Here is a 12,998-nt window from a genome sequence, read left to right as displayed (position 1 = left end):
CACCCAGCGCCGGAGCCAGCTCTGCCTTCTCGCCGATGAAGCAGGACTCTCATCAGGCTTACTCTGACTTTTTGCAATTTAGAAGCTCAGTCTTCCTGCCTAGGTTAAATAGATTTTGCCGCTGAACTCTATTTTTTGGTCAGTCTTTAAAAAGAGCTTAGCTTATAAGTGTTGTACTATTAAAACATTAGGGACTTTGCCTACTGGTGTTTTATTTACTTCGGAAAATCCACTTTAAATGCAAAATATGTTTTTATTTTTAGCTCTCAGAGGACTCATTGGGAGGTGGAAGAGACTTACTCATCTTGTATTTGAATCTAATGGACTAATATTTGAAAGAAATAATTCACTGTCATCATCTATATCAAATTGAAGTGGAAAATATCTTTTTCTTTCAATGTGTGTGTGTTACTTTTGTAATTAGAAAGAAGGCTATAACTATGTTATGAAGATAAAGCAGCGTGTCATCTGAAGGGCTGTCTTGGCATATGGTCCTTGTGCCTAAAGTGAAAGTGAGATGCTAACTCATTTCCTAATTCATCTTTCTGTTCTTTCATAGGTATCTGTTACTAAGGCTGAACAAGAACTGGGATTTGCCATCCAAACGTGCTTTATCTCTCCATATTCGAACCCTGATAGGATGTCTCATTACACCATTATTGAGAATATTTGTCCTAAAGATGAATCTGTGAAATTCTACAGTCCCAAGAGAGTGCACTTTCCTATCCCGCAAGCTGACATGGATAAGAAGCGATTCAGCTTTGTCTTCAAGCCTGTCTTCAACACCTCACTGCTCTTTCTACAGTGTGAGCTGACGCTGTGTACGAAGATGGAGAAGCACCCCCAGAAGTTGCCTAAGGTTTGTGGGCCTTCATCCATTCGGATGGTTATTTTGGCATTTTTAGGTGAGGCAGAAAAGTTTAATCCCAAGGTCTTGCAGGTTGAGGTTTTTTGTTTTGGAACTGCCCAACTGAAATATTAAAGTCACTATTAGCAGGGAACTGTGAGTTTTATGGAGTCTTAGATAATAAATCCTGACAGCATGAGTTTCTTTTTTCCATGCGTGCTACTTAGTAGTACCTTACGAGTGATAAATCAAGACGCTTTTCCATGGAGGGAGATTTCTGGCTTTATCTTTGCTTTTCAGATAGTTTGCAGGCCAAAAACACAGCAAGCCGAAAGGACAAGTTCATTGTGAGAATTAATTTTTCCAGGTCCTGCTGGGACTGGCATTGTCATTGTTTTTTAACCTTTTCTGTGTGAAATATAAGGTTGACTTGTCTCAGGGAGACTTCTAGGGGAAACTAACAAATATTTTAGCTTTTCTCAGTTTCATATCAGTTCATCATATTTGCCTCCTGTCACTCTCCAGATTGAATGTTCTATTGCCATAACAAAAAGCAGAACCATTTGACCTTGGTGGAATGCATTTGATAGGGGAGATCTGCAAGGTTAACTATGATACCCACTAGGTTGGTCTTGTATATGAAAGGTATCTTCTGCCATAGTTTTGTTTCTGTGATCTGCCATAATTATGTATAATTTCATATGTGCATTTATTCTGTGGCTATCTCACACAGAGTAAACTGATTTCCAGTCCTTTCGCAGTCATATATCAATGTCTAAAAGGCTAAGAATCAAGCAGTGTTATTAATAATGTATGTATGGAATTTTCTCATTTAACTCACAGATTTTAAGTCTTAGGTATGGAGGTAGGAGGAAAAACCACCATTTCCAAATAGATTACAATTGATCTGAATTCCTTGCATCATTATAGTCCCCTGGGCATCCTTTTCTCTGATAACACCCAAGAGAATTTTGTTTGCATACGAAAATAGAGCAGATATGATCATAATCATTGGGGAGCACATATACAGTGATTTAGACTATATTCCTAGGTTTGCTTTTGCGGCGGTGATGCCTTAGCCTTGTAGGCATTCACCATCAGGGTTGGGGCTTAGTGGACAGTGGTAGAGAGCCATGAGGAGCTTCATGTGTGGCTGTGGGACCAGCTGCTTCCTGTGGGCAGAAGGGTAACGTTTAAGGGTTAGAGGTCTTGGAGGGGAGACCTAGCAGTTACCAGGGATCTTTGCTGTGGCTTTGGCTGTTACTTCTCTCTGACCTGGCCTGGAACAGCCCAGCTTCATGTGTGTTAATCTGGGAAAATTAATCGTAAAGAGAGTTCTAAGCCTCAGGGGATGACATGATGGGATATAACCCTAAACCTCAAGTCGCCCTTTACCCCCAAGGTAAGATAACATGGAAAGAGCCTGGGACTGAGAAGGAAGCTCTGCTGCCACCAATGGGACTTTAAGCCAGTCTCTGGACCCCTTAGAGCCTGTATTTCCTCATATACTGTTATAATCATACCTGGCTTCCCTCCTGGGTAGAGGAGCAAATAGGACAGTATGTACAATGACAGCCCTTTATCTGGCAGAGGCTTGGATGAGCTGTTACCACTGTCTTTCTGTTTGCTGCTTATAGGTAATATTTTCACATTTCTATTATTTTCTGAGTGCTTTCTGTGACAATAGAGAGCGCCAAAGAATCTTCTAGGAAGAGATCTCAGAGATTGTTGAGACCAACCCTGCCCTTTGCTGATGAAACCGAGACCCGGAGAGCAGAGTGTCTTGCCCAGGGTCACACTCCACTGAGTTAAATGCGGAATCATAGACTCTTGCTTAACTGAAGAGCTCAATAGGAAAGTAACAGTAAACTAAAACAGGAAAGCAAAATGCAACTCTTTTCAGTCATCATGCCTCTCCACAGAAAATTTGTTGTTTTTCTTTACAAGAGGGCTCTTGTTAAAGGCTTTTCTCTTTTTGAGGGGGTAAGAGTAGGGCAGTGAGGGTTGTCTTATAAGAAGTGTCTGACTGGCATGTTGCTCAGAGCAGCAATGACAGCAAGGCCTAAAGTCTTTGCTCTTTTGTGTTTGGAAAAGATGGAACTTGATTAGCTTTTTGGGATGCCTGCTATAGACTTAAAATGATGGCTGTATTAATATGTCTTCTTACCATAGAAGCTGTCATTTACTTTAGAGTTATACCTATTAGGCTGGGCGTGGGCTCATGCCTGTCATCCTAGCACTTTGGGAGGCTGAGCTTGGCAGCTTGCTGGGAGTTCGAGACCAGCCTGGTCAGCATAGTGAGACCCCTGTCACTACTATATATATATTAGCTGGGTGTAGTGGTGCACACCTGTAGTCCCAGCTACTGGGGAGGCTGAGGCAGGAGTATGACTTGAGCCCATGAGGCCAAGGCTGCAGTGAGCCATGATTGTACCACTGTACTCCAGCCTGGGTAACACAGCAAGACCCTGTCTCAAGAAAAATAAAAAAGAACTATACCTATTGATAAATATAGACAAGAAAACAAAGTTATTTTAAAGAAAAAGTGCGGAGTGTGATCATATTTTTTCAAAACAGATGTAGTGGGCCTGAGCATGCTCATTAATAGGTTTGAAGCGGCTAATCTCATGGCCTCCACAACCTGGGCACAGCCCCCAGGATCTGCATTTTGAAACATTAAAAGCAGATGACCCTGGAAAGTTTAGTTTTACATGAGCCTATACCAGGATTAAAAATGAAACAAACTCAGCAACATGATTATCTTATTGGAGAAAAATGTAAAATCTGTCACCTTCATAATGCAGTATAGACAGTCCCCATACAACCATTCTGTTTTTCAATCTAAGTATTCAATAAATTATGTGAGCTATTCAACACTTTGTTATGAAATAAGCTTTGTGTTACATGATTTTTCCAGCTGTAGGTTAACGTAAGTGTTCTGAGCATGTTTAAAGTAGGCTGGACTAAGCTGTGTTGTTCGGTACTTTAGGTGTATTAAACACATTTTCAACTTAGTGATATTTTCAGTTTACAGTGGGTTTGTCAAGATGTAACCTCATCATAAGTTGAGGAGCGTCTTTATGGGAAATTTCCCACAATCACCAATCACAAACATGAACCGTGTATATGAAGCCCAGCTTGGTGAGGACCAACACTAGGCATATAGTTTTTCTGTTTTTCAAACTAACACTAAAATGTTTAGTTTTGTGAGAAGAAGGGGAGGGGGAGGACAATATTGAGAAGCTATCCAGTGATATTTGCATCTTCAGGTACAACCAAAAATCCACTGGGCCTGCTGTCATATCTCCCAGGTTATTTGGTGTTCTCTGAAAAACACCCACCTTCTTGCTTTTCTGTAGTGAACAGCTGTGTGCTGTCTGATAAAAGGCCACAGGACAGCTGTGCAGGTAGAGCTGGTGAAGGCACTTTTGAGTGGCCCCTGATTCTGTGCTTTGTTCTGCCTGTCTGCAGTGTGTGCCTCCTGACGAAGCCTGCACCTCGCTGGACGCCTCGATAATCTGGGCCATGATGCAGAATAAGAAGACGTTCACTAAGCCCCTTGCTGTGATCCACCATGAAGCAGAATCTAAAGGTGTGCTTTGGGAGGCACGATCAGAGCATGGGGCCTGAGCTCTGCTTGTTAAGAAGACCCAATAGTGTAAATCAAAGTCCAGCTTTATTCACAAGATAACTAAAGGGCCAGTTAGTTACTTTAGAAGACCATTTTTTGCCCGAAGAGTCTTTTCTTTAGCTGGTTCTCTTACAGCCATTATGGCTTAGTTGTAAGTAATCTATTTGAAAATGATTTCCTCTGTAAAAAGAATCAGGTCTAGGTTGTTCCTGTCATAAGGTCACTCTCCCTTGCATTCAAATATGCTTCCTTGAGTATGCAAAAAAGGGTTCTAGTTAGTCCCATGTCCCGGGAATTGCACACAATCCACAGTTCATCTTTCTGTGATCTACTGCTAAAGTTTATGCTGGCTATAACCTATTGTATTGCTTTATCAAAATTGCAAATGCCTTTGAGAATATGTGAACATTATTCATCTTAGGTGTAACAGATGAGAACCACTGCCCAAATGCATCTTAAAATTCAGTTTTCAGAATTTTGCACAATCACATTTGTTGCTTGGAGCCAAGCATGCCTCTTTCTCCACAAGCAGGAACATTCAGCAAGCTGTATCTTCTGTGAGAAAAGGAAGGCTGTGCCCTAAGGGGTGTGGCATCAGTACCTGAGAGGACAGGCAGGGCAGAGCCAGACCTGGCATGGGTCTGGCCAGCCAGAGCAGTAGAGAGGCAGAACTGGGCCCTAACAAATGTTAGGAGTGGATATGAGGCCCTGTGGGCGGTGAGAAGAGCATCTGACAAGGACCCGCATCACAGCTCCAAGGGTTATAAACAAGCAAGGACACACCAGGCAGCTGTCAGCATCTGAGGGGTGGAACCAAATGTCACATGGGATATCTAGGCAATTACAGTTGTCACCATCTAGTAACATTGATATCTAAGGGTGTCAAACTGAGAGAAGGCTGGGAGAGTGAAAGTGGATTCCAAGCGGGGTTAGATATTTCAGGATTAGAGCTACAGGCTGCCTCTCGCCACTCTGAGGGGCACAGAGGAGCCTGGGCACCAAGGGCCTTGACAAAAGCCAGCACACTGTCTGGCTCCAGTTTCAGGGTATTAGCTGGAAGGCCTGCTGGGTGGTGCTGACACCAGATCTAGGGTTTGGTGTGGCCCTGGGATGGCATTCCTGATCTGAGCATGTTGGATTGGGATTTGGCAAGACTAGGCAGCAGGGGTGACCCCTGGACAGTGGGCAGAACCTACCAGAACAGAGGCATGCAGGTACTGTCTAGTGTCTTATTGGTTGACTAACCTCTGTGAAAACAGCTGTGCCATTCCAATTGTGTATCTGGTGGTGGCATCTGCCCCCTTCCTATGAATGAATGTGCTCCCTCAAAATGGCAGAAGAGTATAGGTGGCAGGCACACTGGATTGGAGCTGGGAGCCTAAGGCACTGCTTTTAGCTTTCTCTGCTAACTGGCTGTGGGACATTGGAGAACCCCCCTACCACCAGCTCTTTGGGTTTCATTTTCTCTATCTGGAAAGGAGAGGTTTGGACTGGGTGACTTCCAAAAGGTCCTTTCAGTTGTAATACTCAACTATGCTGTTTGAAGAAGCAAAATAATCTTTAATTCATTTTTCTGGCCGTCCTAAAGTTGTTGTGAAGTGTACATGAGATGTTCTCGGCAACATTTTTGTTGTTGTTTGTTTTACTTTTATTGATTGGTTTTCAACCATTTGAAAGTTATAATAGACCCAGTCTTTATATAAATGGATGGTCCAAATAGTTCCTTTTTATTGGGTTCAGGAGAAAGAAATAAGAATATAAATTGTGTTGCAGAGTAATCACAATTGGGCAGCAGCTGGCTCCATTTTGTACTATGAAAGTGATTTTGTTACCAGAAAGGAGTCCCAATTCAGACCCCAATAGAGGGTTCTTAGATTTCACCCAAGAAAGAATTTGGGGATGAGTCCACAGAGTAAAGTGAAAGCAAGTTTATTAGAGACGTAAAGAAACAAAAGAATGGCTACTCCATAGACAGAGCAGCCCCAGAGGCTGCTGGTTGCTATTTTTATGGTTATTTGTTGATCATATGCTAAACAAGGGGTGGGTAATTCATGAGCTGTCCTAGAAAGGGGCAGGCAATTCCCGGAACTAGGGTTCCTCCCCTTTTTAGACCATATAGGGTAACCTCTAGGCTTTGCTATGACATTTGTCAACTGTCATGGTGCTGGTGAGAGTGTCTTTTAGCATGCTAATGTATTATACTTAGTGTATAATGAGCAGTGAGGACAACCAGAGGTCACTGTCATTGCCATCTTGGTTTTGGTGGTTTTTGGCCAGTTTCGGCTGGCTTCTTTACTGCATCCTGCTTTATCAGCGGGGTCTTTATGACCTGTATCTTGTGACCTTCTCTCCCATCCTGTGACTGAGAATGCCTAAACTCCTGGGAATGCAGCACAATAGGCCTCGGCCTCATTTTACCCAGCCCTATTCAAGGTAGAGTTGCTCTGGTTCAAATGTCTCTGATAATTTAACAATAAGAGCAGCTACCTCGGATTCCATCTGTTACTCGTAACTATTTTGAGAGAGGTAATTCTGCTAGTAATTGAAGGCAGCGGCTTGCTTTTTCCCATGCCAGACAATAATTAGGCATTAATATTGCCGCAGTATAACTTCCAGCAATTCATCCATTCTTCTTTTGAGCCTGGTGACATTTTTCTAAGTAATTTCTCTTGCAAATTAGGTAATTACTTTTATTTAAACTTAGTATAATTGTACTGAAAGTTCAATGTTTTCTTGTATAAAAGTTCAAGAGGAAAGTTTTACCAAATATCAAAGCAATTTTATGAGATTTGCTAATTGAGACTAGATTTTAGTTGAGAAGCATGTGGGTGAAGAAAGTTTATTACTTAGGTTTGTTAAATAAATTGAGGCGGTTAAACTGTAGGCCAGCTTCCCAGGGGCTGTATGCAAATTTGCTTTCTAACTTTGCGCTTACTGGGGTAAGTTTTCTGGCAGGTTTCAGCTGTGTGTGACTCCTCTCACCTTTTAAGTTTATTTTCTTTTGACTCTAAATCATTTATCCTCAATGCAGACCACTGGAGTCTGTGCTTTCTGCCTCAAGGTGAATTGGAATAGTCATTTGAAAAGAGACTGTGGGCTGGGCGCAGTGGCTCACGCCTGTAATCCCAGCACTTTGGGAGGCCGAGGCGAGTGGATCACAAGGTCAGGAGTTCAAGACCAGCCTGGCCAACATGGTGAAACCCTGTCTCTACCTAAAAAAAAAACCAAAAAAATTAGCCAGGCGTCATGGCACACGCCTGTAATCCCAGCTACTCTTTAGGCTGAGGCAGAGAATTGCCTAAACCTGGGAAGCAGAGGTTGCAGTGAGCCAAGATCGCGCCACTGTACTCCAGCCTGGGGGACAGAGCAAAACTCTGTCTCAAAAAAAAAAAAAAAAAGAAAAGAGACTGTGACCATTTGCCTAATTGCATTGGTTTATTTGAATAATAACAGGTCACGAATGTCCTTCCTGTCAGACAGCTTTATGTCTCTTTATTGTAGAATCTGTGACTTTTTGGGTAAAAATTTCCTAACCAATGGGACGCTTCACTGTGCTTTTACTACACAGGTGCTCTTTGAAGGCCATGCCAAAACTCCAGCTCTCTCTGGTCATTTGGTTCATCTTATTTTTCAACACTTGGATTTTCTGGGACAGCAGATAAAGGCTCTGGTTGGCAACTTCACAGCTGGGCAGAGAGCTGCTCTGTGGCCACCACTGCCAATAGCATTGACATACTTTAGTGTTTCTTCTGTGGACAGGAAAGTAGGCAATCAAGACTATAAAAATGTTTCTGGATTCCTCCTCTGGGCCACTGTTTTTAATGGAACCTTCCTGAGCACATCTTTGCCACTTTTGATCTCTAAGTCCCTTGGGAATCAGTGTTGGGTTAGCGTTCTTTTACCATTTAAATTTTTAACAATAGATGAAAGTTTAAAGCTGATGGTGATGATAGTGATGGAGATGAGGATGATGATCTAACATTTGTTGAGCATTTACTTTGTGCAAGGCTCTGTGCTAAATGCTTTATGTGGATTATTATATTTTATCCTCATAGCACCTCTGTATAGTGATAACTTGGCCAAGGGCACACAACATATAAATGGTGGATCTGGGATTCAAATTCAGGCACTGTGATTCCAGAGCCTGTGCTCTTAAACCCTATGCCTTATTCCAGATGGAGGTTGATTCTAGTTTTTACTGAAAACTAGAATCATGTGCATCTATGTCTTCACACCCCTCTTCCTGCCCCACTTCTCCCTTTTCTTTCTTTCTTTCTTTCTTTTTTTTTTTTTTTTGAGACAAAGTCTCACTCTGTCACCCAGACTGGAGTGCAGTGGCGCAATCTCGGCTCACTGCAACCTCCACCTCCTGGGTTCAAGCGCTTCTCCTGCCTCAGCCTCCCGAGTAGCTAGGATTACAGGCACCTGCCACCACACCCAGCTAATTCTTGTATTTTTAGTAGAGATGGGGTTTCACCATGTTGCACAGGCTGGTCTTGAACTCCTGACCTGAGATGATCCATCCACCTCGGCCTCCCAAAGTGCTGGGATTATAGGCATGAGCCACTGCACCTGGCCCTCTTCTCCCTTTTCATACCATATCACATTAGTATTCAAGGTAACACCCCAAATACCCTAATGATTATGAACTAAAAGGAAGATGAAGGATTTTAGGAAAAATGTCTGTTCACCCAAAGGATTAAGATGTTGGGAAATGTGTAACCTGTTTAGCAGAGTATTAAAGTTCAGGAGAAGTTCTGTGATTTTCAGTAGTAACTCAGAAAGCCCAGAGAACATAAATAGTTTATGCATATTATGGTTTATGACAAAACATTTAAAATAGTTGAGGTGGTGCCATCCTACCCTATTTTCTGAAATTTTGAAGTATAGGCATATTAGTGCTGTTTGCCTTGGATTCTGTGACCGCTTTTTACAGCATTTGAGAACACTTGGGCTTATACAGTAAAAATGATTACACCACGTCGGTGATGATTTTTTTTAAATTGTGAAAGAGAGGAGTAACCATTTCTCTGAAACAGTGCACATACACAGAAGAGCATGGATGTGGATGTCATCAGGAGCAATAAATATCATTCCAAAATTTGCCGTGATTTACATACCTATAGATGTGTTTAATTCTTAGCAAGTTAAATGTTTGAGATACTGAATTTTCTCCGTATTTTCACCACCTAACTTTAAAAAATAAAAATGCCTGCATATCTTGGATACTCAGTAAATGTTAATTTCCTCCCCTTCCTCTCAACCTCTCAGCAAACTAGAGGTTTTTTGGGAAGGGAGGGTTGAGGAAGGGAAAGTTGTGAACGTCAGTTGGAAGTTGATCCAAGAGAGGCATTACTTTTTGGAACACATTTGATCTTTCCAGAATAAAAATACTCTAAAGGACCAGCCAGGTTTTGTCCTCGAGCTGAGGTCGAGGTGAGGGGAAACTGAGTGGAAAGATGGTAGAAATGCTTAATTGACAGACCAGGGCATTCATTCTCTATCCAAGAAGGGAAGGAGGGATATCATATTTTTTTTTTTAACATCGTGTATTTTACATTATTTATTTATTTAATTTTGAGAAGGAGTTTCATTCTGTCACCCAGGCTGGAGTGCAGTGGCGCAATCTCGGCTCACTGCAACCTCCGCCTCCTGGGTTCAAGTGATTCTCCTGCCTCAGCCTCCTAAGTAGCTGGGATTATAGGTGCCTGCCACCACGCCCAGCTAATTTTTGTATTTTTAATAGATACAGGGTTTCACCATGTTGGCCAGGCTTGTCTCAAACTCCTGACCTCAGGTGATCTGCCTGCATCGGCTTCCCAAAGTGCTGGGATTACAGGCCTGAGCCACCGCTCCCGGCCAGTATTTTACATTTTAAAACCTTTTTATTTTGAAAAATTTCAAATATATACAAAAATAGAATAAGTCTCAACAATTGCCAATTTATGGTGAATCTTGTTTTATCACTTTCTGTCATCCACTGGATTGTTTTGAAGGAAACCCAGACATTTAATTTAATTTCATCCATACATATTCCAGTATGTACCTCTAAAAGTTAAGAACCATCAGAAGATCTCAAGCAGGAAACTGATGATTAGGTCATTTATTTTTATTTTATTTTATTTTATTTTTTGTATTTTTAGTAGAGACGGGGTTTCACAGTGTTAGCCAGGATGGTCTTGATCTCCTGACCTTGTGATCCGCCCGTCTCGGCCTCCCAAAGTGCTGGGATTACAGGTGTGAGCCACCGCGCCCGGCGATTAGGTCATTTAGGAAGGCTACTCTGAAAATGGTGTGAAGGTTGCATTGCTGGGGAAAGTACTCAAGAATAAAATATACGTGATATTTGTGGTTATTTATTCAAAAAAATATGGTAGGTGTATAGTGGACAAATTATCTTGTCTTTAAGGCCTTTACAGCCTAGTGCAAAGTTTCTCAATCTCAGTACAATCAGTGTTTGGGCTGGAATACCCTTTGTAGTTGGGGGGCTGCCTGTGTGTTACAGGATGTTAAGCAGTGTCCCTGGTCTCTACCCACTACATGCTAGTAGCAACACCCTCCCACCACCAGCCCAGTTGTAACCATTCAAAATGTCTCTAGACGTTTCCAAATGTCCCCTGGAATAAAAATCACCCACCACGTGAGACACACTGGTCTAGTGGCAGGATACAGATAAGTGAACAAGTAATTGCAATGAATATCATAAATATTGAAAGAATCCAGAAAAAGGGTTCAGTTACAGTGACGTTAAGTTAGTAAAAACTCTGTCTTAAATGGGGCCTGCACAAAGACCTCCTGAGTCTCCAGGAGGAATCTTCCTCTCCCCATTCTTCTCTTTGCCAAATGCCAATAGATGTGGGTACCAGTTGGACGTCTTGTTTCACTGTGGGCCCACTCCGTCCTATGGTGCCTAGTACCAAATTGAGCACTAAAGGCCAAAAGCTGTGGTCAGTTACTCATGCATAACCCCAGAAATATCCCGTTTATGAAAACCATGCTGAACAATCTGAAGAGGGGAATTTTGGTTCTAGAGGTAGACCAAAATTTGCTCAGCGTATATGAAAAGATTTAATTCAGAACATTGATTATAGTTTGTCCTTTCTGTAAAGAAATCTTTATTGTTACAGTTCTCTTTACAGCAATAGCTAAGATTCCTTTCTTATAATCTTAATCTTATCCTTAAACCAAAAGTAAATATTGTTGAGTCCACTCTTTTCCTCTCAGCATGCCAACTCGATGGTAGGGTTCCGGTGGAGATCAAGCCATTTTAGTTATACTCAGGGGTTCTTAGGGATTCGGGAAGAGAAAAGTTCGAGGATAGAATTCTTTAACCTCAGTTCTGCAGCTTCTGCTTGTTATTGTTTGTGCTCAGAAATCACGAAGAGACTTCACCCAGGGGAAATGAACAACAACTGTTTCTGTTTAGCTCTGTGAGAAGGCTCCTATTTGGGGTGGGGGTAAAGGATTAGATCATAACAGAAATCCATTAAGAATTTTAAAACAATGCCATCCATCACACAGGCCTTACTATAAAACTTAAACTCTTACATGGGAGGTCTCCTTAGGAGAGAGTCATAATTTTTCAACCGCTTGGGGATTCTGAGTGAGAAAGTTTAACCATGGGTGGTTGATTGGATGGAATTATTCCCAGAAGTGTGTATATTTCTTACATGATGCATCTTGTAGCAACCTTTAAATGCCTTTGAACTTAGTTCAGGGAATCAAATACTACGTCTTGAAAGGAGAAGTTTGTGGGTAGATACTCTTCCTTCATAGAGTTCTTGGGAGTTTAAAATGAGACAATATAAGTGAAGGCCGAAGGCTTTTTGTCTATTGCAAAACACCATACAAATGTACAAATGTAAGGCATCATTGTTGTTATTGGTGCCAATGAGGCTGATGGGACCCAGCTCCCAGGGTAGTGCATTCTGTAGTTAGCGTAATTAGTGTGTGTTCTGCATACTGAATTAGATTTTCTTAAAAACATACAATCATTTTTATTTTCTTAGTAATTGTATTTAAGTATACTTTTGCATATATCCTCATTCCAGGGCCACTATGTTGCACAACTCCAGGGGGCACCATTCAATTGTGGTGGCTCTGATTCATCCAGTAGCATTCCTTCCCCTAGAGCCAGACATTGATAACTCATGTGGCCAGAATGTTGACCCACCCATCGGAGATGGTTAATCCTGAGAATTTACAATTCTGTTTTCTTTTATCCTGTCTAGCTTCTTTATTTTTATAGACATCAATTCAGATGCTGCTTGTTTGGGTCACATTTTCCCAAGTTCTTTTTGCTTCCCTGTGAATTCAGACATAAGGTGTGTGTTCCTTCTGTGGTGAATGAAAATGGAGATGAAAAGAGAGGTGCTAAACATGTATCACTTTTAAACTCCAAAGAGTAGGGTCAAGGTCTGTAGCAGGACTCAGCACACTTTTTCTGTAAGGGACCAGATAGTGATTATTTTTTATTTGTGGCTCATACAATCCCTGTCTCAACAACTCAACGCTGCTGTT

General features: G+C 41.7%; 1 protein-coding gene across 12 annotated transcripts in view; it reads left to right on the top strand.

Moving 5' to 3' along the window:
• TGFBR3 (transforming growth factor beta receptor 3) overlaps nucleotides 1-12,998 on the top strand; it is a 225,660-nt gene that overhangs the window by 192,901 nt on the left and 19,761 nt on the right. For all 12 annotated transcript variants that reach the window (NR_036634.2, NM_001195684.1, XM_047429247.1 and 9 more), the window contains 2 exons: nucleotides 560-859; nucleotides 4,319-4,439. Coding sequence is in view for 11 of the 12 variants with exons in the window: in NM_001195684.1 (NP_001182613.1) it covers nucleotides 560-859; nucleotides 4,319-4,439 (421 nt within the window). In the remaining variant the exon portion in view is untranslated. The remainder of the gene's footprint in view (nucleotides 1-559; nucleotides 860-4,318; nucleotides 4,440-12,998) is intronic.

This window comes from Homo sapiens, chromosome 1 (genome assembly GCF_000001405.40).
Source record: "Homo sapiens chromosome 1, GRCh38.p14 Primary Assembly".
In the NCBI taxonomy this organism is placed as follows: domain Eukaryota; kingdom Metazoa; phylum Chordata; class Mammalia; order Primates; family Hominidae; genus Homo; species Homo sapiens.
This window is presented reverse-complemented; position numbering and strand designations above follow the sequence as displayed.